Here is a 24,525-nt window from a genome sequence, read left to right as displayed (position 1 = left end):
GTTCCCAGCAGCCCTACCTTCTTCCAGCCCAGGCCTACTGCAGAGCAAGGCCAGGGATGCTCACTTGCTAATGTGTTAATGGGGGCTGAGCTGCTTCTGGTGCTGACATCATCGTTCTGAAACATCATCATCTATGATTTGCAGTGGGTCGGTTCCTGAGCCAGTGTCTGGAATCCCTTGTGGAAGGAAATTCCTTTTCCACCCAATTTGAGCATGCATGCCTGTAAGGAAACTGACTTCTTTGCGAATAAAATTGAATACAGGGCTGGCAAAGGAGAGAGAAAATATCATGAGCTGGGCTGAACCTGGTGGCTCTGATGCCTATCAGGGAGTCATGTCCCCATTAAGGGGCCTCTTGCTGCTGCCACCCCATGCCAGCCACAGGGGCACCACTTCCCAGTTGGAGTGCTAGCTCAAGGGTGGGCGTGACCTTCCCTAATGCCCCAAGCTTTCATTCTGTGGCCTCCTAGGTGGGTGACCTGAGCAGGGTGCTGCTCTGTGACTCTGTTTGCCCATTGGTAATATGGGGATGATATTAATAACAACCATACCTACCTCATGGCGTTGTGGGAGTTAAAATACTTAATACACATACAAGCACTTGAAATAGGGCCTGGAACATTGGAAGTACCCAAGAAATGTTAGCTGTTGTTGTTTCAGCTCAAAATTGACTTTGCTTTTGCAATTACATATCTGATAAGGGACTTGTACCTAGAATATATTAAGAACTCTTTCAACTTAATAATGAAAAAGATAACATAACTTAAAAATAGGCAAGGAACTTGACCTGACATTTCTCCAAAGAAGAGATACAGATGGCCCAAAGCACATGAAAAGTTGCTCAACATTAGCCAGCAGGAAAATGCAAATCGGAACCACAAGGAGCTACCACTTCACACCCACTAGAAGGGCTAGAATCAAAGAGATGCCAATAACGAGTGTTGACAAGGAGGTGGAGAAAGTGGAACTCTTGTACCCTGATGGGAATGTGCAATTGTGCAGTAGCTTTGGAAAACAGTCTGGCAGTTCCTCAAATGATCAGTGGTTAACATATGATCCATCAATGTCTCTCCTAGGTATAGAGCAAAGAGAAATAAGAACAAATGTCCACAGAAAAGCTTGTACATGAATGTTCACAACAGCATTCATCATAATAGCCAAAGGTGGAAACAACCTAGATGTCCATCAATGGAGGGATGGATAGATAAAATGTGGTATATCCATACAATGGAAAATATTTAGCCATCAAAAAGAGTGAAGTATCGACACATGTGACAGCATGGATGAGCCTTGAAAACATGACGCTAGTGAAAGAAGCCAGTCACTAAAGACCACAGATTGCATGATTCAACTTACGTGATGTGTCAAGAATAGACAAATCTATAGAAATAGAAAGTAGATCAGTGGTTTCTAGGGATTTGGGAGAGGGAGGAATAGGGAGTGCTGTCTGCTAGTAGATACAAGGTTTCTTTCGGGAGTGATAAAAATATTCTAAAATTGATTGTGGTAATGCTTGTACAATGCTGTGAATATACTCCAAATCACTGAATCGTATACTTCAAATGAGTGGATTTTATGATTATGTGAAGTACCTTTCAACAGAGCTATAAAAAAATAACTGACTTTATTGAAGGTTCATGGATGACCACAGGGAAACAGATGCAAGCATAATGTCAGCCAGAAAATCTGGCCCACGCTTGACCTTCCTCTAGGTTTGCCTTCCCAGGGCAGAGGCTGTCTATAACCCTTACCTTGTCAGAGCACCTCAGCAACTTCTGAGCTCCTCCAAGACCTGTCCCAAAGAGCCAGGCCCAGGGTTCTCATCACAGCAAAGGCAGCATGACAAAGTGGTAGAAATGCGAGCAGGGATAACCCTGGTGGCATGGCAGCGTTGTCACGGGATGAGTCGAGGTTGTGGGTATTAGCATAGCTGGAGCAGGCGTCCATGCGTGATATGTGGCCCTTCTCTCGTTCCTGCCCCGAGAGCCCCTGTCCATGGTGGACACGGGAATACCAGCAGTAACATGCTAAAGCCTCACTCAGTGCTGTGTGCAGACCGGGCCTCCCGTTAGAGATGTGCATGCAAGGTTGAAGTCCCGTGTTGGTGTGAAGGGAGGCTCTCAGTACTCACCCACCTGAGCCCCACCTTCAGGTGCCCTGGGGCACACCCTGGATGTGGAGTGCCAGAGCCAGAACGGCCCTGTGAGATCATCTTTGGCCCCCAAGTCCCATGGAGTGCGGCAGCTGGAGGGGAGACATTCAGCCTGCACTCAGCAGAAATGCCCCCCGTGCGAAAACAGCAGCAGAGGATGCGGCCAGCAGGGAGGCGGGAGGGAGAAGCAGGAGGAGTCTGTCCTTGAGTTTTGAAAAATAAATATTTGTAAAAGTTTTATATGCTTATTGCAGAAAACATGTAAAACACAATAAAGCACAGATGAAAAAACCAAGTCCTCCCTGCTGCCCCCTCACAGAGACAGCCACCACTGGGCCGTGTTTGGCTGCTCCTGGCTGCTCCAATAAAATGGAAATCGACTTTATGAACCATATTTCTAATGAGAAATCACTGCCATTCTGTCCTGGTGATCGCTGACAGCCAGGCTTGGCTCAGCAGAGGGGCAGGGAAATAGAATTCGTTAAACCCAGTCTGAGCCTGATTCACCAAGTTTGTATTCCAGAATGTACGGCCATACCAAAAATGATGAAAACCCACTGCGTTGGCCTTCGCAAATATGTTCCCAGGCTTGAGTAGGCCTGTGGGGGCCATCAGAGGGCTTTGGCCATTGGTGACGTTCTGGAGGGGTAGGTGTGCTGGGGGAGCCCTGCCTGGGTCAGGGCCTGGGAAGTGGAGCCTGGCGGAGGTAAGTGACACCTTCCATCCATCAAAGGCAGGAGCCAGCAGTGAGAAGTACAGTAGAGCTCAGGCAGGTTCCGTGCTGACGAGGGGAGATGGAGGTGGCCAGACCAGGGTGCATTGTTGGTCTTGCCACCTTCAGCCCCATTGAGCATGCAGCTCTTGGCTATTGCCCTCTCTCTGGCTGTGAAAAGACAGCCCCGAGGCCAAGGATCAGAGGGCACTGGGCTGGGAGTCTGGAGCCCTGGCTCTCTGTCTCTGTGTCACCACTGACATGTACTGGGCAGCCTTGAGCAGGTCTTTTCGCCTTACCCAGCCCCAGTCTTCCCATCTGCAAAATGGGTAGACGTCCTCTAACATCCCTTTCAACTCAGACCTTCTGGGATTTTAAAAGAAAAGAGCCTTTCTCCTTCCCCAGCGGTGAGGTGAAACAAGGGTGGCTAACCCTGATCGAGCACAGCGTTGCAGTCAGCAAGCATGCCCTGAGCACCTGCTGTATGTCCAGTCCCTTGTTGGGCCCTGGAATAAGAGGCCAGTCAGGACCAGGTCCATTCTGTGTCAGCCTTCCATACCCAGTCAGGGGAAGAAAGAGGCGCAGAGCCCGGCAGTTACAATGCTTGAGTCCAGGGGCTGTGATGGAAGGAAGGGCATGGTGGGGGACCCCAGGGCAGCCTAGTCTTAACAACAGGGAAATCTAGGAAGGCTCCCTGGAAGAGGTGGCTTATGAGCTGAAGCTTGGAGGATGAGCAGGACTCAGCCAGATGAAGTGGCAGGAGAAGAACATTCTGGAAAGAGAATGATGGCCGCAGAAGAGAATGATAGCAGCAGAGGCACCTTGGTGTCGGTTGCATGGAGTGTGCCACCTGTTGCTGGTGTATTGGCACTGCTGGATGGACCCTGTCCCAAGGCCAGATTGACGAGCCCTGCCATCTCTCATCTCATGTAGTCGTTGCAATAAACCTGCAAACAGGGAGTGTTAACCCCGTTTTCCAGAAGACACCTCCAGGACCAGAGAGGCTGAGTAACGTGCCTGAGGACACAGGCGAGTAAGCAGCAGGGCTGGGACTTGAACCTGGTCTTCCTGATCCGAAGCTGCACCCCATCCAGATGGCTCAGGGATGTGTCCCCAGACATTTGGCTGAGGCTGCAGAGATGGTGTTGAGGGAGCACTCGCTCCTCCCCAGTGCCCCATGACTCTTGGCTGCTGCTGCAGAGTGAAATGTCATCCTCGCCCTCCCTGCCAAGGTTTGTGGCGTGGGCTTGCCTCTGGCTCCTCTGCTCTTAGGAGTGAGTCTGCCTGTCACCAGTATCTAATTACACCAGCCCCCTGCCTCCTCAGGCGTCCCTGGCCATCATGTGTGAAACAGGAGCTTGGTGGCGTCACCCTGCGAGGAGGCACCCACATCCTTCAGTGCATCGGTGGGTGGGTCTCACTTCCCTGATGCAGGCACACCACTGTCACCATGAGCTGTATCCCCTGCCCTTCGGCAAGTTGGTCCCCATCCATGTCTTCCTTAATCCTCAGATCCCCTCTGGAAGCCATCGTGTTGTCCCTGTATTCTTATGTGGAAAATGAGTCCAGAGGAAAGCCCTTTGCTCATGTCACGTAGGACAGGAGCCAGCGCATGGACCGGATCTGGCTCCAGATGCAGCAGGGGGCATCCAGGGTCCCGCCCTCTGCAGCGACTCACGCAAGGGCACACGTAGCACTAGGCAAGAAGTCTAGAATTGTGACTAAATCTGTCCATGAAAGTATGACGCTGCCCACTGTAAATTTTTTTAAACTTTAGCAAAACAACATAGTGTAAAATATAAAGCAATAAGTATAATATGTAAAGAAGTAGAAAGTAGAGAGTGAAATGTAAGGAAAAAAGGAAAAGTTATCCCTAACTACACCACTCAGAAATAACCATTGTTTAATATTTTGGAGTATTTTTCCAGGCTGCTCTCTGTGTGTATAATTACACTCTTTACTAAAATGGAATCATACTATACTTACTGTTTAGGTACTTGATTTTTTCACTAACAGCGTATTTTGGGTGTCTGGCTATGAACAGTTAGCTGAGTGAATAAGCGAGTGAGGAAATGAATGAATGGCTGATGAATGACTGAATAAAAGCATGACAGTCTGCCCCATGATGCCGCCGGACAGGTCAGGCTTTGGGGACTCTGCCCAGACTGCCTTCCTGAGGAGCCAGGAGCCTGTGTCTACCCCATCAGGCCCCCTGTCCTTGGGGTCCATGGACCACAGTGTCTCTGCATGGGGTTGCAGGTAGTGTAGACTGTGTTACTGCCGTGTTGATGCTGACTCTCCACAGCCCTGGGAGGGGTGATACTCTACTGTCATTACCTCCCTGGCAATGCAGACAAATTAGGGTATTAGGTGGTTTTCACAGAATTGGAGGGGAATCAGGATTTGAATCCAGGTCTGGATGACTCTTGAGCACTCTGTTTCCCACAATGAGCACACAGGAGCAGGAAGAGCCTGCCCTAAGGATCCAGGGGCCTGCAAAAAGCTGGTGGCAGGGGAAGCCTTGGGGAGCCTTGCCCTCTCTGGGCTGCCTTGGTGTCCCCACCCACAACATGAGGTCCTTGGAGGTTTGGCCAGTACTGACATTGTGTGAGGCTTGGGTTCCCACGCAGCCCAGCCCAGCCATTTGCATTTACCCCTGGGCTAGGGTGAACCCAGAGAGGCTTTGGGCCCAGGACCTGCCCCAAAGCCCAGAACCTCACAAAGAAACCAGTGTTGGAGCTGAGCCTGACTTGAGGGAATTCCAGGCTGAGGGAACAGCATATATAAAAACACATAGATATGAAGTTCTGATGGCCCAAGTGGTCAGTGTAACAGGAACCTGGAGAGGGACCAGGGAGCTTGGGGAGCCAGCTACAGCTGGAGGGTCCCCAGAGGTCAGTCGGCGAGATGCTGGAAGTGCTGGGCTGAGGGTGGTATCCTGAAGGCAGTGGAGCCACCCATAGGGTTTGGGAGTGGCAAGGAGAGGCTTGCAATTTAGGGGTCTCCCTGCTGCAGGAGAGATGATGGATCTGGGAGCAACGGCCAGCCTAGAGGTGGGGGGCCAGGGAAGAGAGTGGCAGGATGCACATGTACCTGGTGCTGCCCTGGCAAGTGAGCTGCCCGAAGGCCTCACTGTGCCCCGGGGGCCGGACTGCACCCTGGCTCCCAACCTTCCCCTTCTCCCATCTCCAGCAGAGTTGCGGGCTCCTCTCTTAGTCCTCAGCCCTATTGGCAACCCCGGGCTCCTGACTGGGCCCAAGTGCAATGCAGTGATCTATTTTCTGTAAATTATTGGTGCCCAGGTCATAGCCGAGCGGTTCAGCACAATGGCATCCTTTTCTTTTTGTCCTCCTTAATTTTAGAAGCCAAAGCTAAATGTTTTAATTTTATATTATTCCTGACATAATGCTAATGAGTTCCAGGCGTCCCTCTGAGTCGGGTGGCGCAGCTCTGCTGAGCCAGGCATCTGGGCTGGGCTGCGCGCCCCAGAACGGCTCCTCCCGCCACCCCTTGGTTCTCCATGGAGCTCCTCACAGCGTGCTTCTCCTCAGGGGCCCCTTCCTGCTCTCCCGTGTGGATGTAACTTTTCTCAGTGACACGGTCCTCTCTTGCAAGTGGTGGCCACGGGGTGTTTCTCCCTTGCCCAATAAGAGGGAAGGCTCATGTGAGAGCCGGATGGCCTGCCTGGCCGGCAGATGACCACTTCCCTCTCAGACCCCTGGGACATCCGAGATGCAGGTGAGGGGTGGGTCACCTCCCCCACACCCTTCCAGAACTTTCCAACCTGTTCTGAGCCGAACAGCTGGCGATTTGGGGTTTTAAGAGAGACCAGTGCGCTTACTGCAGTGGCTGTTGTTGCTAGCATTATTTTCTGTTGACATGGAAACATTTAGTCCTTTGTTTGTAGTCATTTCTTCCCCTTGGGCTAGTGTTTCCTAAATCAATAGACCACTCTGCTTTTGACTTAATGCAACATAAGCACAGGGGCCAGGGGTTTGCTATCAGACAGCCCTGGGCTCATTCCTCAACCCTGGCTCCATTCCCACTGCTGCTCTCACTCCTCAGGGGCCCTGGGCTCAGGCCCTCTGGGAGCCTCTGTCTCCTCATCTAGGAAAGGCGATTACGGTGGCACCTTCTGTCTAGAGCACTCCGGAGGTTAAACAAGGCAGTCCGCCGAAAGAGTAGCATGGCCTGACTTGAGGGCGCCCATCAGCGGCAGTTTTCCTCGCTTTTCCCGTGTCCACGTCCCCATGAGGGAGGACCACTTCCCCGTGAGGGAGGACTGCTAGTGCTCTCTGTTTCACTTATGTCAGGTCCAAACCTGAAGTCCACAAACTGGAGTGAGAAAGAGAAAAAAAATGTAACTTTAAATGTTCCTTTCACTCCCTTCCTATCCTGAGCCCCCACATGCTGGGTAGCAAATCTCTGGCAGTTCACAGATCACTGCCCATCTTCTCTCATAGTTGCATGCAAATTCTGGGTTTTGGGGGGCTTACACTGAACCAAGGGGCCCGTAGAGTCATTTATCACATTGACACCTGCTGAACCATCCTGCCCCATCTTTGGCCAGAATCTACTTGTCCCTGTCCATCTAAAGGCTGCCTCAGGGCCAGCCCAGACTCAGTGTCTTCTCCATAGTGCGGGGAGGGGACCTCCCTGAGACAGCCAGAGTCCTGCCTGGATGCCCCAGGTAGCCTGGGCCTTGCTGGGAGCAGCCCTGCTTCAGGTCCCACAGACCTATCTAGTGGTGCTGTCAGCACCCCCAGGGCGTAGCCCCAGGGGTGAAGGGGCAGAGCTCAGGACCTCGCAGCTTTTAGGGACCCATGCCATGTACATGCGTCTGGCTTCCCTCCAATGTCCCTGTCCCAGCTGGAGCATCGTTTGAGGGTGGAAGTACAGGAAGCTTTGCTCTTTCCTCATCACAAGGTCTCTCCCAGCCCCCAACTAATTTGGGAGGTGACTGCTGAGCAGCCAGCCATCTCCCCACCCGCCCCACACTTCCCTCAAGGCTCATTTGTTTGTTGCTTGGTTCTTTCATTCATTAACAGATGTTCACGAACACCCGCTCTGTGCCAGCCCCTGTGCTGGGCACTCTCCGATGGGTTTATGGCGGAAACATCATTTGAAATATTAACTGCCTGTGACTCATCCGTGTCCAGAGTTCTTTCCATTCGGCCCTGCGGCCTGGGATTTTGAAACCCAAAAGCCAGGAATTTGCTCCTGTCTGCTCTGCTTTCTGCTAAGTCATCTCCTTCCCCCCGGCGCTTGAGTGGAGGTGCAGTGCTATTCCACACGGACCCCTTTGACAGATGAAAACCGAGGCCCATCAGGGAAGGGGATATCCTCAGGGTTCCTGGCCCAGGGGGCTCCTCTGGCTGAGTCTGCTGGGCACCTGCTTATAACCAGATGTCACTGTGGACAGTGGGGCATTTGGGGAGGAGGCAGTGGCTCCCAACTGCTGAGAAGCTGAGTGAGCCCTTGAACAGAGGCCTCTGAGCCAAGGCTGTGGCCCTCCCCCTTCCTTAGCTTTGGTGAGTGATCACCCAGGTGCCATCATCACTGGCCACAGGAGGAGCTGTGGATTACAGACCTGTGCACCAGGCACCTTCCTCACCAAACTCCCCCAGCTGCAGGATGAACGGACCGAGCCTCAGACCCCCAGACAGTTTCCTTCACCACCTGGTGCCTCAGTTTACCCATCTCAAAAGCAGCAACTCCGTCCTGCCTCTCACAGGGCTGCTGTGATGCCAGGGAAGAGAAGGGCTTTGCAGATGGAGGCACTTGGCCACCGGATGGGTTTGCCTCTGTCTGTTCCCAGCTTCTCCTTCCCTCCCTGGTTGGTTTCCTTTGGTTTGTGTGTGTGTGACTGGTTTCCCACTGCAATTCACCTCCCTTCCCTAACTTGAGTGCGTGTGCAGGGCTGATGTCCTGGGTCTAGGCCATCACTGTTTTTATCCATCTACCTTTACTAAGTGCCCACTGTGAGTCCAGGCACTGGGCTGGATCAGTGCAGGAGGGTGTGATGTGGGCCACTAGGCCTCATGCACATATGGCCGTGAGATGCCAGCACAGGGCCAGCCCACCTTGGGGCCTCTTGGTCAATCATGTGGGTGGCTGGGTGGGTGTGGGGAGGACCAAGGCAGGTTAGCCTGGCCTATTGATACCACTGGCCCCAGGTGGCAGGCCAGACCAATTTAAAACTGTGGGCTGTCCCCTAAAGGAGATCTCCTGAAGGTAACCTTAGGAACTATTTGCACCCTCTGAGCAGCCCTGATGAGTACACATCATCCGGCTCTGTCCCTGAGCGTCTGGGACGGGAGGCTCACCATTTCTCCCGGTAGAGCTTATCCTGCTACTAAGCAGAGTCCTCTTGGTGGCCTCCCACCCCCAACTCTCTCAGGTCACTGTGGCTCCAGGAGCTACACACCAGTGGATCTTCCCAGCCCAGCTCCCACCCCCACACTCTTCACTGGCCTGGTGCTGAACACTGCCCCCTCGCAAGATGGAGGTCTCAGGCCTCACGGGACATTTCTGGTGGGATCTGAGCCTCAGGTGCACACTGGCAGGTTCTTTCCACCCACTCAAGACAGGGAGCTTTGCCTGTGGTACGTGTGTGATAATTCTGGTGACCTGACACTGGGTTTTCTTTCAGGCAGTGGGTGGAGAATCTCTGGCCTCCGCCCTCCCCAGGCAGCCCCAGATGTATGTTGTACAGTGCTGGGCATGGATGCGTCTGTCACCTGTACCATCGCCCCACTGCCCCATCCTGGGCAGGCGGTCCCTGGTGGGCAGGCAGCTCGGGGTGAAGCTCAGGAAAGGGAGGTGGCTGGGCCGGGGTCACGCAGAGCCAGGGCTGGACTTGGATCTCAGACCCAGGTGTTGCTCACCACCCCTCTCCTGCTATTTCTTCTTGGAACTTGGGAGAGGATCCCAAAAGGGGACTAATGTTACTGAGCACCTGTCCTGTGCCCAGTACCAAGGCCACACCCTGATGTCCACCGCAGGAGGACACCCCATTTGCAAGTAGAACACTGAGGCTCACAGGAAGAGGAGGAAGCACCTGAGCCCCAGGCCATCCCTGGGGGAGGGAGACCCCTGCTGAGGCCGTGGGGCGAGTTTGTTTGCAGAGAGGGTTGAGGCTGGAGGCCTGGAGAGACCGTTTTATTCACTGTGGCCCTCTTCTTCCTCCTGAAGCAGCGCTCACAGCCTCACCCCCAGGGCTTATGGTGAGGCACTGCACCACCTAAAAAGAATCCCCCAGCAAATGGGAACATGCTCCTCTCCGCTTGGCTGTGTGGGCGGGGCAGGCTGTGCGAGGCTCACCGCTGGGGTCTTATGTCTGCCTCTCTCCCTCCCAGGGCCGAGCTCTGAGAGGAGTGTGTGATGCTTGAATGGTAGGAGAGTGGTAAGGGACCGGCAGTCCTGGCCGCAGCATCGGGATGACAGTGAGAGAACTGGGAAGGCCTCAGGCTTGAGCCAAGCCTAGAGTGACAAGGAGGACTGGCCAGTGAACAGGGGCACCTTGAGCAGAGGACACCGCATGGGCAAAGGCGTGGAGGCGGCAATGTGTGGCCTGTGGCTGCAGCGTGGGGAGGGAAGTAGACATTGGGCTAGAGAGGTCAGTGGAGATCTCTCAGGCTATGCATGCTGTCCCCAAGGCCAGGCCAGGCCAGCCACCACTCAGAGGTCAGGAGGCGCAGTGGACCCAGCCCCTCAGTGAACCCCACACGCACATCCATGTTCCAGGTGGCCAGTTTCCACGTGTGCTGTGCTATGCGTGGGGCAGTGTGTCGGTGTGGCTGGTGGGTGGGGGTTAGTGTGTTTGTGAATGTGGCAGGTCTGGGGCTTGGACGTCTTTGGGTATATGTGTGAACATGTGTGTCCTGGCCTGTGTGTTTTTGTGATATGAGTCATGGGGTGTAAACACAGTTTATGTGTATGATGTGTAGTGTGTGTGGGGGGGTGTATACCGTGTGGTATGTGTGTGTGTGGTGTGGTGTGTGTATGTTGGGGGTGTGGTACGTGTGTGTGGGAGGTATGATGTGTATGTATTGGGGGTGTGCTGTGATGTGTGGTATGGTGTGTGTGTGGGGTGTGCATTCATGTGCTGTGGAGTGTGTGTGTGGTATGATATGTGTGGGTGTGTTATGTGGTATATATGTGGGGATATGGTATGTGTGGGTGAATTGGGGTGTGTGTGTTTAGGTGTAGTGTGTGTGTGTGTGTGTGAGGGAGTTTCTGGGTCTTGGTGTGTGTGTGTGTGTGAATCCATGTGTGTGTGTTGGTGTGTGTTGGGGCTGTCTCCGACGTGTGGCTTGGTTGGAGGGAGAGGTGTTCACATCAGAGTGTGTGAGTGTCCACGTTTCTGGGCCTGTGGCTGGTGGCTTGGTGTACATGTGTCAGCCATTCTATGCTGTGTGCTCTCTGCGGAGCCCTGGCCCCTGGCAGAGCCTCTTTCCTCATTCCAGACGATGTCTAGCCACAGCTCTGCACTGGGAGAGCCCCTGGATCCCACCTGTCCACTTGGGCCCAAGAGAAGCTGACTCAGCCCCTCCTGCACCTCCTACTTTCGGGGGTTCCACATGCCCTGGAAGGGTGACTCTCTTGATCCTTGCTGGCCGGCCACCTTTCCAGGAGATGCCTCAACTGCACTGCTGGGGACAGGAACCCATTTCTTGCCCAGACAGGAACTTTTGCCAGAGAAGAGCCCAGCCCAGAGCTGTCAGTGTGTTCCTGGTGAGGAAGGGTCAGGGTGTCTGCAGCCCCCACCCCCTCAGCCTTGAGATCCTCCTCCCAAGGACAGGCCCACCCGCATGGGCTCCCAGAGGAGGTGTATGGTCCCTCTGTCCTGTTCTCCCTTGCCTCACTGTGTGCCCCCAGCCCTCCCTGGCCTGCCAGCTGCTTATGAAGGCCCAGTGAGCAGATGGTCTTGCCTCTCATGGCAGTGCTCGATCATGGCTACCTGGGACCAGAGTGTGCCCAGGGCACAGACCTCGGCACTGGAGGTGAACCCAGGCTCCATCCCATGAGTGAGCGCTGGGACTCTGGCACTTCACCTAAACTCAGTTTCCACCTCTGTAACAATAGGGGTTGCAGGATTAGTGAGATGGTGTTTAGGGAGAGCTTGGCCCAGTCCTAGGCACATGGTCAATGTGATAGCTGCTGTTCTGCTCAGTCCCCGCACATGCCCCACTTTCCATTCATGTATGCAGGTGGCACTGCATCCCCAAACACCAGACCCTCGAGAGCCTCACGGTCCAAATCAAAGAGCCCGGGTCAGTGCCCTCCAGCCTCACCCCCAGGACCCTCCTCCCGTCTGTCCGTTCCATTCTTGCCTCAACCTCCCCACAGAGGACTGGCGAAGCCCCAAACTCTGAGGAGACCCTCAAGGAGCCCCACGGGGGAGCACAGGACAGTAACCTCAGGCCAGCCAGCGGCCCCTCCCAGAGTGCAGGAGCGAGGAGCGGCCCTCAGTGCCCAGCTTGCTGGCCTTTAAAGCTGGCCAAACGCAGGATTATTTGACATGTTGGAGAAGGAGCTGGCATTGCATTTCTCCCATCCACATCATTGTTGTAAAGTAACTTAAAAGTTCGTACAAAAATGAGAAGTTGATCCCTGAATGGCCTGCCAGACTTTTGTAACCCAATATATTTTACCCTTAAACCAGAAATGTGTTTATTTAGAAGCAAGTCACTGGCAAATGCTAAAACTGAAGGCATTTCCTCCCCTGCCCCCGTGCCATGCCCTGTTCCCCCAAACCTCCTCTTCACTCTGTGTCCAGATTCTTAGTTAGAGCATGAGAAACTGAACCCTGCCTCCTTTTTGGGCCATGCCAGCCGCAGGCAGGAAACTTGACATTCATTAGGCACCAGCTATGTGCCAGTTCCTACACTGGGCATATTCTTTTATTTACTTCTACCAGCCGTTTGTGGTGGCCCCATTTTAGAGAAGAGAAAAACGAGGACAGAAATGAGGCGTGACTAGCCCAGGTTCAGGCTCCCGGTGGTGGATCCCCAGCACAAACCTCTGTTTGCGTGACTTGATTTGCAGCACTTTGGTTTGCGGCATGGTGTCACCAACTCACATGTGAAACAGGGCCCTTGGTTCTTCCCCAGGAGCCAGAGGGAGAGAAGAGCCATCACCTAGTGCCAGCGGCACGCCAGGCACTGTGCTGGGGCTCCCCTGCATGCTCTTAGCCCGTCCACAGATGCATAAAAGGCTCTGAGTGTGGCTTGCTGAGGAAGGTGGACCCACCCTGCAACTTGAACGTCTGAGCCAGCCCCCAGCGGATCTTGGGCTTCAGCCCTCCCCCTCCCCAAGCCAGAGCTTGAGGGGTCCCTGGGCTTGGCCCAGAGGCGAGGATGCCACCCCCTGCCTGGCTCCTGGGATGGCTCCCCTCTGTCTTTCATCTCCTGCCCTCTGCTCTGTGAGCGGCACGCAGCAGTAATGGATTGCAGTGGACATTTTTCAATTAGGTTCTGATTTTCCCCTGCCTGTCACTATAAAACTCCAGATGGTCTGGGGCTTCACGGTTCCCGGGGTATTTTCCCCGTTTTTTTAATCTTCTGCTGTAACACACCCCACATGTGGGAATTGGGCCTTTCAAGGCTGTTCTGTGGATCAGCTGGTACTTTCTTCTCCACTGTGCCACCTGGTTTTCCTTTCTGCATGGAGGCATCCACTGTGGGCATCCTCCCTTCCCAGCGTCAGCTCTGGGGCTGGGCCCAGGCCTGGCCTTGCCCCAGGAATGGAACCTGTGACGCCTGGTTTGAAATGACAGTACTAGCTCCTGAGAGAGAACTTGTCTTTTGGTGCTTTAGGTAGGAGTCCCTGAGGCAGTGGCCAGAGTGGTTAGGGACACATATAGACTCATCAGCCAGACCCAAGGTCAGATTCCTGCTCCGTCACTGACTGGCTGTGTGACCTGGAGCCAGTGACATCACCCTTCTGAGCCTCAGTTTCTTATTCTGCAGAGTGGGCTGGGAAGTAGCTTCCTCAGCGGGGAACGTTGTCTGAATTAAATGAAACACACACAGCACTTGGCCTACGGTAGGTGTCAGAGAAAGTGTCACCCAGTCACTACTGTCATTCTGAATTCACCCCAACTTCATCTTCAAATATGTTTTACTGTTTGTGTATTTTGGGGTAAATAAGAAAAACCTAACCACCTATTCTTACATTTTTCAAGATTGTTATACATGCCTGCTTTTCCTTCTCCCCATCCTGGGTACCCCCTGCCCTCAGTATCACCTTCTCTGTTCCCATGGTGTGGGAGCCCTTCCTTCTAGCCAGATCAGTCTGTTGTGTTTTTGGTTATTTGAGCCAGTGTGTCTCAAATCCACCCTCGACAGAAGGTGCCTGTATCATTCTCTGCATGGACAGATGGCGTCAGAGCGCTGATGCCTCTGCACACAGTGGTTCACAGAGCCCCCACAGTGTGCCCCTTCTTACATCTGAGGTATCTGGTCTCTGACAAGTGAAATGAGCTCACCCTGATTCATCGGGTCGGGAAGCGTGGAGGCCAGCTTTGCACCCAGGCTGATCTGAAGCTGGAATGCATTGGTGTGGGTACGGGGGTTGGAGGGTACAGATGCCACCAAGCCAGCACCAAGGGACCAGATCATGCTGGCCAGAATGCCAGGGTGAGGATCTGTACATGTTGAGGCACTGGGGAACCATGCAGGGTTTGAGCAGGGAGGGACACAGAGCTATGGGCTTAAGTCTTCTTTTCAGATAGCTCGTGGAAATGGGTTGGGAAAGGCAGGAGGGAGGCAGGATGGCACCTGTGCAGTCACCCAGGTAAGTGATGCTGGGGTGTGGATTAGGGCAGTGGGTGGATAAGAAGAGAAGGGGGCAGACCTGGAAGGTGATTACAAGGTGGCATTTCCTGGGCTGGTGACTAGTTGGATGCAGGGCCCAGAGAGGAGGGAACATGTTCCTGGCTCAAGCATCCAGGTAGAAGGTGGGAGGTCAGGGGCCCCATACCCACCCAGCCATCCACCATGAGGGACTGAGAGGCCCCAAGGTGGGCTGGCCATGTGCCAGCAACTCAGGGCCATATGTGCTTGAGGCTTAGGGGCCCATGTCGCACCCTCCTGCACCGGTCCAGCCCAGTGCCTGGACTCACGGTAGGTGCTTAGTAAAGGTAGATGGAAGAAACAGTGACAGCTCAGACCCAGGGCATCAGCCCTGCGTGACCTGGGGTGGTCCAGCCAGCAGAAGTCGCACCAGAGTCCCTCAAGTGAAGAGCCTGTGCCACATCAGTCCTTGCATGGAGTGGCTTCTGTGAAGTCTTTAGAATCAAAAATCCCCAAATTTGCCTGCTGCAGAAGGAACCACTACCCCATGTGTTTGAATGAAGGGAGCCCCCAAAACTCCCATTTCTACTTTCACCTCTCCTCTCCCTGCTTCCCTTCCTTCTCTGCTCAATAGATCCTTAGCTGTTTCCAGAACATATCCCACCTCTTCCAGCCTCCCTGCTTTTGTTCATGCTTTGCCCTCTCCCTGGAATGCTTTTCCTGGCTCTGTGTTTCTAGCCCCTGCCTGGGTGTCAGGGCTGAGCTCCTCTGTGAAGGCTTTTGTAGCTCCCCAGCCTCTGCCAGCCAGAAGCCCCCGGGTCAGCCCCTTCCTAGGGCTCTGAACAAGTTCCAGTGTGTTTGGAGCTATGGGTCTTTGACGCCCTTGGGTCTCAGCTCAGAGCACACTGCCAGGCACACAGAGGGGCAGCTGAGTGAGGCAGGAGGATAAGAACCTGTGTGCTCAAAGAGGAGAGGATGAGTGAGTGACTCGCAGAAGTGCGTGAGTGGAAGGATGGGGGGTGCACAGTAGCAGGGATGGGGTGGGTGGTCAGGTGGGGGTGGAGGGATGGGGTGCACAGCTGGCTTTCAGGCCACAGGGCTTACCTTGTGTTGCAGGCACTTCTTTCTCAGGAGAGATGGCAGTTCTGCCTATGGCATAGCTCAGGCTCAGTGCCCCTGGCACAGGGGGAACAATCTCCCTCTCTGAACCCCCCACATAGAGGCACTCAGCCCTTGCAGTGGGGGTCCAGGGTCTGCTCTGCCAGCCTGTACCCTTGGACACTGGCAGCAGGAAGCAGGTGTCTGTCCAGGACAAATGTACCATAGAGCCTGAGGCGACCGGGATGTCAGGAAGGCCCCGCCCCAGTGGCACTCCCTGTGGTGCAGGCCCCATGGAATCATTACGATGCCCTCGGGTCGTGGTGCCATTACCTGAAGGTAAGTCCTCCCTCCACCTGAGAAACCAAGGTCGAAGCCAGGGACGTGCTAGATGGCTGCATTTCTGGTCTCACAAGCCCCATGCATCCATTCTGCAGCATCTGTGCCCCCACAACCCAATGGTGGGGGTTCCCTCCCTGCAGCCCTCCCAGCCCTACACAGCCTATGGATGGGGGCCCTTCAAGCCACACCCACCCCAAAGGCTACCTCGCACTCATTGGAGGCTGCTCCCGGGACCCAGAGAGCTCCCCCTGGGCTGGGTCTACACCAGGGTCCGTGTGTGTAACCCCTGTGCTGGCTGCACCCTGAGCATCAGCTCCCCATCTGTCAGTGGAGACAGTAATACTTGCCTACTGGGCAGTGAAGAAGATAAGGTGCCACATTTGTGACAGCACCAGGCCCAGCAGAACCAAGCACACAATAGGTGCTGAACTGATGGTCGCTCTCATCCCTCTTTCTGTGCCTCTGTTGTCCCCATCTGTGCAGTTGTTGACTAGGAAGGACCACAGGGACCTTGGCAGCCAGCTGCAGGCAGATCCCATAGGCCCTCAAGGCCCCTGGCGTGTCTGGGATGCTGGTCCTGATGGGGCATGACTCTGGCTCTGCCAGGGGTGCCTGCAGCATCCTCATCCCAGACCAGTCCTGATGGGGCAGTGCCCCTTCGTCTGCTGGTACCTCTGTTTCCACCTGGAGGGACGGGCCACTCTCATCAGGGCATCCCAGCCAGCTGCTCATTATACCCCAGCCTGTGGCTCAGCTCTGGAAAGTTCCAGGGGGCGGGGAGCAGAACAAGGCTGGGCCAACATACATGGGCACAGCACAGGCATCAGGGCACACGCACTTATCGGGGTACCTTTCTGCACACTGGGGTAAGGGGGTGTACTCACAGGGGTGCGTGGACTGCATGCCCAGCAACCCCCATATCATGCTTCTGTCCCACCCTTTGCCCCATGATTGAGATGCCAGCCCTGCTCTCAAGGAACTCTCAAACTCTCAGCCTGGAGGCATGGGGAGAAGGCCATGGCTGTGCAGGGAAAACCTACCCCACAAGCTCATGGGTGTCACAGAGGATGGGGTGGGGAAGTTTGAGGCAGGCTTCTGAGAGAGAGTGCTTAAGCAACAGGAGTAGATGTTTGCTAAAAGAGCAAATAAAGGAAAGGCATTCCAGGCCTAGGGAACAACTGAAGTAAAGGCCTGAGGGCATGGAAATTCCTAACAGAATTCAGGACTGTTCAGACACAGTCTCACTCCTGCAGATCACGCGTGGAGCGTCTGCATGGGAGAGGCAGTTGGGTCCATGTTGGAAGACCATGAACACCAAGCTGCAGATCCTGTGTTTGAAAAACGTATGAATTAGATGGTCAGAGAGTTGGAAGGGAAGGAGTCCCAGGAGGGGGACAGTCCGAATAGAGACAGAGCAACTGTGCTGAGCAGAGGGTTGGCCAAGGCAGGAATACACAGACCTCGGGGAGAAGATGATGTATCGATCATGGTCCACCTTCCAGCACTCTCCCACAGTCAGGAAAATGACGAAGCCTGGAGGAGTTATTGTCCTCTGCTGTAGATACCTCCCTGCCCTGCATGGGCCAGAGGGGAACAAAGGATGCTGAGAGGAAGCCCCACTCTCCAGCCCGGGCTCCCCCATCTCACGTTGGGGTGAACTTGGCACAAGGCCATTGCAGGCGAGCAAGGGAGGTGGCTTGCAGCCTATTTACTGCCCAAACAGGATTTCCTCCTGGTTTGGATGCATGAAAAAGGCACAACATCTGGAAGTAGGAAGCAGAACAGCTTCTAAAACCCAGCTGTGGGTGGCTCGCCTTGGACCCGCCCCAGCAGAGCACGGCCCCAAGTTGTGACTGGGCTTCCAGGGGACAGGCGCAGAGGGAGCTGTCCCGGAACCATCATTGTCTCTCGTGTCTCTTGTGTCTCTCATATCTGTCTGAGCAGCTCTGCCCTGGCCTGTGCTCCATCTGCCACCTCTGCCCTGGATGGGGCGTTGGTGACCCTCCTCTGGAACTGCTACAATTGCCATCTTCCTGTCTCCTCCCCCGGTCCCCACTTGTCACCAGCAGCCAGAGAGGTCTTCCTAGGGCACATATCTGAGCCTGTCCTTTCCCTTCTTTAGGAGAAGTGTCTCCACTTTCCCCAAGGTGGAGTCCAGGCTCACTGGCCCAGCATTTGAGTCCCCGCTATCTGGCCTTTGAGCTCCCTGCAGACTCCTTGCCCAGTAGAGCCCAGCCCACCCCCAGCGTAATGAACCCCACATCAACCACTCAGGGGCCTTCACAGGGAATCTGTGCCTTTTTCATGCTTTGGTGCCTGCCCTTCCTTGGCCTTCAGTGTGCGTCACCCCACTATCTTCTTTGGATCTGTTGGTTGCAGTTCAGGGCTCGGGCAGGGCCAGAGACAGAATGAGGTGAATGCATCAGTGTTGGGGGAATTGCCTGCCTGTGTCTCCACACTGCTACATGTCTGTCTAAGCTCGCTACAGTCATCAAGCCCGTGGAAGCAGCTCGCGGCCCACAGGCTGCCTCAGGCATCTCCTCTGTGTGGCCACAGCCCCTGTGTCTCCCTCTGTGACATCTCAACCACGTCGCTTTATGGTGGTGTGCGTGTGTGCATCTCCCACATGGGCTCTCTACACCTAGAGGGCAGGACCCATGTCTGAGTTCTCTCTGCAGCTTGGCACTCACCGCAGACTGGAGCCAGTCTGTCCCAGTGAACAGCCTCGCACCAGAAATTACTCAATGTGCTGAACAGCCTTGAGCCAAGGCCATGAAAATCAGCCAGGTGGATCACAGGGTCTGAAATGAGCCCACAGTCCTCTCCAGGCACCCAACCAGCTCCTCCCCCTACTCCCCGCAGGTGAGCCCCAGAGAAAGGATGTGAAGAGCAGGCTTTGGGAGCGCCAGTCCTCGGGTAACACGGCTGCTACCAGCTCATCCTTGGCCACCTGCTGCTGGGAGCCCATGCTGGCCCCTGGGTCAGAGGGGCAGGGTCCCATGGGCCCTAATCTGGGTTAGGTGCTCATGGTTGGCTGTTCAGCCCTGGACATGGAGGATGAAATCAATGGCTCATGAGAGGGGGCCAGCCTCCTCTGGTCCCTTCCTCCTCAAGGGTCACCTGCCCTAGGAAGGCAGCAGGCATAGCAGAGCCACCTGGCCTTTGGCATCAGACTTGGCCTGAGTCCTGTCATTGCCATGTCACAGCCCTGTGACCTTGGGCAGGTCACTTGACCACATGGAGCCTCCATCTCTGAGATGGGGACATTAATGCCGTATACTTCACAGCTGTTGTGTGTCCAACACCCAGCACCACACCTGGATGTAGCAGGCGCCCGTCAGCGCTGGTCCCCTCCTCCCACCCTTGCAAGCACATGGCCAGAACATCAGCCTGGCTGGGACAGGGACAGATGGGGAGAAGTCGGAAGGAGCAGCTCATCACACTGAAGGAGGAGAGGCTGCTGCTTCCGCTAGGCAGCATTTGAGCTGACTTTGAAGGCTGAGGGAGGTTGGTGGGTGGCTGTGAGGGCTGAGGGAGGTTGGTGGGTGGCTGTGAAAGAGGGGACACTCCTTGCTGAGTGACTTGAATGAACAAAGGCTGGAAATTGTCTGGCCAACCCCTGATGTTGATCTAGGGCATTGGGTGGGCCTAAAGAGAGGTGTGGAGGGCTGTATATGGTCACAGAGCCACAGGATCTGTGAAGGGCCCTTCAGTTTACAAACGTGGCTCTTGTTTTGACAGCAGTTAGCATCAACTCTGTGCTCCAGACGGACAAACCCCATGACATTCAATGTCCTACCCCCTGGGGCCCTCATGTCAGCCTTGAGTGGTGGCCACACAGTCTCAAGCTTGAAAACAAGGAAACAAGGCGCAGAGGGGTCAAGAGCACTGCCCAAAGCCTCTCTGGGACAGAGCCCAGTTCAGATCCAGGCTGTGGGTCCTTCCCTATTTCAGCTCTCTGTGCTGGGACACACCCCTGCCCTGATTCGGGGCTGTGCTGTGGTCAGGGCAAGTGCCTCGTTTCCAGATGGCCCTGGGGAGGGGAGCCTTTCGGGTCCAGAACTGGAAAGGCCACTTTCTTCTCCAGCCCTCACGCCCTATTTCTAAGTCAGGGTGCTATTTTTCTGGACTCACCAGGCCTTTCCAGATAAGGCCTGGGCCCTGAGCACTTCATGGGGAGCTGATCCAGAGCTCTCAGAGGCTCCAGCAGGATGGGAGGGGCAGGGGTGCTGGGGCCAGGCAGGCCTGGGGGGTTAGTTTCCATGCAGGGTTGGGGTGCCCACCGGGCTGGGAGTTCCCCTCACCAGCCTCTCCTGCAGTTTGAAGGCTGCAGCAAGGCCTTCTCACGGCTGGAGAACCTCAAGATCCACCTGAGGAGCCACACGGGCGAGAAGCCGTACCTGTGCCAGCACCCGGGTTGCCAGAAGGCCTTCAGCAACTCCAGCGACCGCGCCAAGCACCAGCGCACCCACCTAGACACGGTAGGCCCAACAGGCAGAGGCCCAGGGCGGGGTGGAGGATGGCCACACACCTGCCACTCATTCAGTGCAGAGCCCCTGCCTTACCCTGTAGCCCCACCGATGTTTGGGGCAGGAGATGCTTGGCAGGGCAGTGGGTCGGATGGTGTCCTCTGCATTCTAGAATGTTTAGCAGTTATCCCTGGCCTCTCTCCACTAGATAGGAGGCAATGTTCCCACTCCCAGTCGCAACAACCAAAACTCTCTGATGCCAAATGTCCCCGGGGGTGAGGGGAGGCAAACCTGCCCCAGTTAAGAAGCAATGCTTTGGCCTGTGGGTACCAGCCTGGGCACCAGAGCCGTGCACAGCCTCATGGAGAGAGCACATTCGCCTTCCTGTGTCCCCTCCCCAGAACCTGTCAGCCACGCCAGAGCAGATTGCTCCCTGCTCTTCCTGCCCCCTCCGTAGACACAGGTCAGAGGCTCTCCAGGGTGGTCTTTTGTCCGTTGAGCCCTGCAGGTGAGGAGCGGAGGTGGGCAGTGCCTAAGACTCCAGGCTCCTGCAGGTGACCCAGGCCTCCAGATACTGGCTCCCTTCCCACCTTCCTTCCCTTGTTTGCACCAGGCATAGGTAACAGCAGCTTTATTCCAATGTCTGCCCAGGCAGCCCTCCATGTGCCGTTAATAGAGCGCTTTCTAAAACTTCACCCCTCAGGATCTCATACAGACCCTGTGCTCTGGGCAGGGGCAGTCACGAAGCCATTTGACAGATTAGGGAAGTGGGACACCTGAGGCCAGTGCCTGCTCACCATCGCACAGCTGGACGGTGGCAGAGCTGACTCAGACCAGGGCCTTACACTAGGCCCTGGGTGAGGGGCACGTGCCTGAGGAGGACCCCAGCCCCCATGTGCTGCAGGAGACTGGGGTCTGCAGCAGAGCCATGTCCGGGCCCCAGGCTGGTTTCTCTATGCTTCCTGCAGGTGTTTGGGGAACTCTGTGGGTCAGAGGCTGGGGGATTTGGGTGGCTGCCCCCCAGCCCGTCCAGTTCACAGATGAGGAGGAAACAGGGGCCCAGGAGGGCAGCTGACCCCTCCAGGGTAAGTTGGAGGCCATGAGACAGCAGAGGTCAGAGCTGAAAGGGCACTTGCAGGTCTCTGATGCCAGCCATTTACCTTAGAGCCGGGAAAACCGAGATCCAGAAAAGATTCAGTGCCCAGAAAACAGCAGGGAAGCAATGTTCTTGGGGCCAGGCCAGGCCCTGGGGGGGACACTCTGTATATCTGGCCCCACAGTCTCACACACACTGCCCCCAGTTTCATCCTGGTGACCAACCAAGATGGGGCCCATTATCCCCATTTCATAAATTGAGACTCAAAGAGACTGAGTCATCTGCCCTGTCCACAGCAGGTGTGTGGCAGAGCTGGGATGCAAACCTGGGCTGGGCCACTCCAAGTCCAGTGCTCTCTGCTGGAAGAGCTGATGTGGCAGGCATCTTGGGGGATGCAGCAGAGCAGAGGGGTGAGGGTGGCAAGGAAGGGCCCCATCCCCAACCTGAACCCAACAGTCCTCCCCTTCTCAGCTTCATTGTCACAGGCTGTGCTACGGACATGAAGTGAGGAGTGGGTGCTAGCAGATCTCCCTGCCTTTGTCACCTTTTCAGCCCAAGGGGCCCGTGGCACCCTGGCCCAGGTCCTGAGAGGCACGCTCTGTGCCCCAGCACCCCCAGTTATGTCTCCCAGAGGCCACAAGCCAGCGCTGACAGTGCCAGGCCTCCCTGCACCCTCTCCCTACCCTCCCGTGCCTCTCGGGCCACCTTCCCTGACCCTCCTTCTTCCTCCCTCCCTCCTTACTGCATTTCCTGGACCCAGCCCCAAAGCAACAGGCCTCTGGCCCCCACTTGGTGTGTGAACAGAACCCCAAGGTCTAGGTCAGGCCAGGCCCAGAATGAGCCTGCAGGCTTATCTCAGGCCTTCGTCTCCCCAAGAGGTCCCCTGGAAGCCTGGGAAGTGCAGCCGCCAAGCCCAGCACCCCACTCGGATCCAGCTCCCCACATAAACACCGCAGGCAGCTCTGTGTTGCTAGTTTGCTGTCCCAGCACCTGCCCCCAGAGGCCCCTCGGGTCAGGCCCCTCACAGGGCAGGGCCTTGCTTTCCAGAGGGGACCAGCCATGTCCCTAGCTCACCTCTGGCATTGGAGAATGTGGGATTCTCTCCATGGGCGGGAAAGTTTCTCAGAACAGACTGGAGAGGACCAGGCCAGGGTTCTGACCGTGGCCATGCCTCCTGGTCCTGGAGGTCTGAGGAAAGCCCCTGGCCTCCCTGGGCCTCCTGAGAGGTAAAACCCCTGCTTCAGAGAGCGAGGGAGGTCAGCTGAGGCAGCAGGTGTGAGGCCCCGCACATGGACTGGGCGGCCTTCCCCTGCCTGTCCTCTTACTGATTGGGCACTGACCACATCCTGCCGTGTCCCAGGCTCTCAGTGTGGGGCTCGAGTCCTGAGTGCACAGATCCCCTGAGCGGACTCGAATAAGCCGCTGTCCTGCATGGGGCCTCAGCTTCCCCACTGGGATGATTCTCTCTCCCCTGCCCACTTCACTGGACCATTCGAGGCCACCGAGCAGAGGAGGCATTCTAGCAGAGGCCTGCACACGCTCCCTCCCTCTCCCCGCTGTGGGATCTTGGGCAAAATGTAGGTCTCAGTTTCTTCTTCTGCAAAGCAGGATGAGTCTCATGGGGTGGGTGTGGGCTCAGGGAGATGGCGGATGGCTGGTGCTCAGCACGGGGCCTGCACAGGGGAGCGCTCCCAGCAGAGCTGGCCTCCAAGTGCAGACGGGCAGGGGCTCCGCACGGCAGACTCACCCGGAGCGTCCTCATTACAGACAGAGGGAGGCCGCCCGGCGCTGCAGCCCACATGGCCATTCCAGGCGGAGCTTGGCTGCTGGCTGGGGACGGCCACAGGGTTTCCCACAGGCTCACGGGGAATGGGGCCTGAGGAATGTTCTACACATGTCAGGCCCTGGAAAAACAAACACAGAGATGGGCCTTGCCGCCCGTTTCCAGGCGAATGTGCCGGCAGACACAGAGCCAGCTTGTTTGCTTTTAGACGAAAGCGAGTGGATTTGTATCAGCATCCCCAAGGGACAGTCCTGGGGCCGGCTCAGGGACAGGGCAGGGCCGTGTGTGTGCCTGGGCACATGTGAACGCACGTGTGTGTGCCGTGCGTGGGTGTGTATGGTGTGGTGTGTGTGTGTGGTGGTGGTGGTTTTGTGTGTGTGTGTGTGTGTGTGTGTGTATGGTGTGTGAGAGAGGGAGCCTACCTCTGGGGTGCGGTGGGCTGGGGGCAGCAGGGGCCATCCGCGGCAGGCCTCCGCTCTCCCTCCCAGGCCAACCCCGGCAAGCTTCTCACTGCTGTCTCTCTCTTTTTGCTCTCCTCCGTTTCTTTAATCTGGCAACTCTCCATGGCAGCACCAAGGTATGGTCGTCTCTTTCTGCTTCCCCTCCTCATGAGGTCCCAGGGCCATGGGTACCTCTCCCTGGGTCTGAGGTTGGCCTGGCCTCTCCTTAGTCCAGCAGGGGCAAAGCTGCCTTGAGGTCCTGGGGGCAGTTCCACGTGGGTGTGTCTGGCAGGACATGGCAGTCCCTGGCACTCACTCTGAGAGGTGTCATTTCCTCCAATCCTTCTCCTGTCCCCTGCAGTCCCAGCAGGGCAGAGGCTTCTAAGAGAGCGGAAGCACTAGACGTGTCCGCAAAGGGAAGCCTTGTAAGCTTCAAGCCCCAGCAGCGGCCAGAGTCCTCAAGCAGGGTCCTGTGGAAGCCTTGGGAGAGATTGGGATTCAATTAGAGCCACGAGTCCCCTGCCCTGGGTCACTCAGACCTAGGATGAATCAGACAAGTCGCTCCCTGGCTGAGAAGAGGGACACTGAGCAAACCCAGCACATAGGCTGGACAGCGCTTAGGGGGATGTTCTGGC

The 24,525-nt window shown here is 55.7% G+C and overlaps 1 protein-coding gene across 10 annotated transcripts in view, besides 5 other annotated features; it reads left to right on the top strand.

Annotated features, from left to right (window-relative positions):
• The window catches only part of GLIS1 (GLIS family zinc finger 1), a 232,926-nt gene that overhangs the window by 188,791 nt on the left and 19,610 nt on the right, over positions 1 to 24,525 (top strand). For all 10 annotated transcript variants that reach the window (XM_017000409.2, XM_017000411.2, NM_001390838.1 and 7 more), the window contains one exon: positions 20,422 to 20,583. In XM_017000409.2, coding sequence (XP_016855898.1) covers positions 20,422 to 20,583 — 162 coding nt within the window. The remainder of the gene's footprint in view (positions 1 to 20,421; positions 20,584 to 24,525) is intronic.
• Positions 3,745 to 4,244: an enhancer, noted in NCBI's record as "H3K4me1 hESC enhancer chr1:54011803-54012302 (GRCh37/hg19 assembly coordinates)". NCBI's record gives its function as "activates a minimal SCP1, AML or CMV promoter by ChIP-STARR-seq in naive H9 embryonic stem cells {active_cell/tissue: H9 hESC(naive)}" and the evidence as "EXISTENCE:reporter gene assay evidence [ECO:0000049][PMID:30033119]".
• Positions 9,045 to 10,012: an enhancer, noted in NCBI's record as "H3K4me1 hESC enhancer chr1:54006035-54007002 (GRCh37/hg19 assembly coordinates)". NCBI's record gives its function as "activates a minimal SCP1, AML or CMV promoter by ChIP-STARR-seq in naive H9 embryonic stem cells {active_cell/tissue: H9 hESC(naive)}" and the evidence as "EXISTENCE:reporter gene assay evidence [ECO:0000049][PMID:30033119]".
• Positions 10,013 to 10,980: an enhancer, noted in NCBI's record as "H3K4me1 hESC enhancer chr1:54005067-54006034 (GRCh37/hg19 assembly coordinates)". NCBI's record gives its function as "activates a minimal SCP1, AML or CMV promoter by ChIP-STARR-seq in naive H9 embryonic stem cells {active_cell/tissue: H9 hESC(naive)}" and the evidence as "EXISTENCE:reporter gene assay evidence [ECO:0000049][PMID:30033119]".
• Positions 22,263 to 22,766: an enhancer, noted in NCBI's record as "H3K27ac-H3K4me1 hESC enhancer chr1:53993281-53993784 (GRCh37/hg19 assembly coordinates)". NCBI's record gives its function as "activates a minimal SCP1, AML or CMV promoter by ChIP-STARR-seq in naive H9 embryonic stem cells {active_cell/tissue: H9 hESC(naive)}" and the evidence as "EXISTENCE:reporter gene assay evidence [ECO:0000049][PMID:30033119]".
• Positions 23,271 to 23,774: an enhancer, noted in NCBI's record as "H3K27ac-H3K4me1 hESC enhancer chr1:53992273-53992776 (GRCh37/hg19 assembly coordinates)". NCBI's record gives its function as "activates a minimal SCP1, AML or CMV promoter by ChIP-STARR-seq in primed H9 embryonic stem cells {active_cell/tissue: H9 hESC(primed)}" and the evidence as "EXISTENCE:reporter gene assay evidence [ECO:0000049][PMID:30033119]".

This window comes from Homo sapiens, chromosome 1, assembly GCF_000001405.40.
Source record: "Homo sapiens chromosome 1, GRCh38.p14 Primary Assembly".
Taxonomy (NCBI): Eukaryota; Metazoa; Chordata; class Mammalia; order Primates; family Hominidae; genus Homo; species Homo sapiens.
The sequence above is the reverse complement of the archived record's forward strand: the minus strand, read 5'-3'. Positions and strand labels throughout refer to the sequence as shown.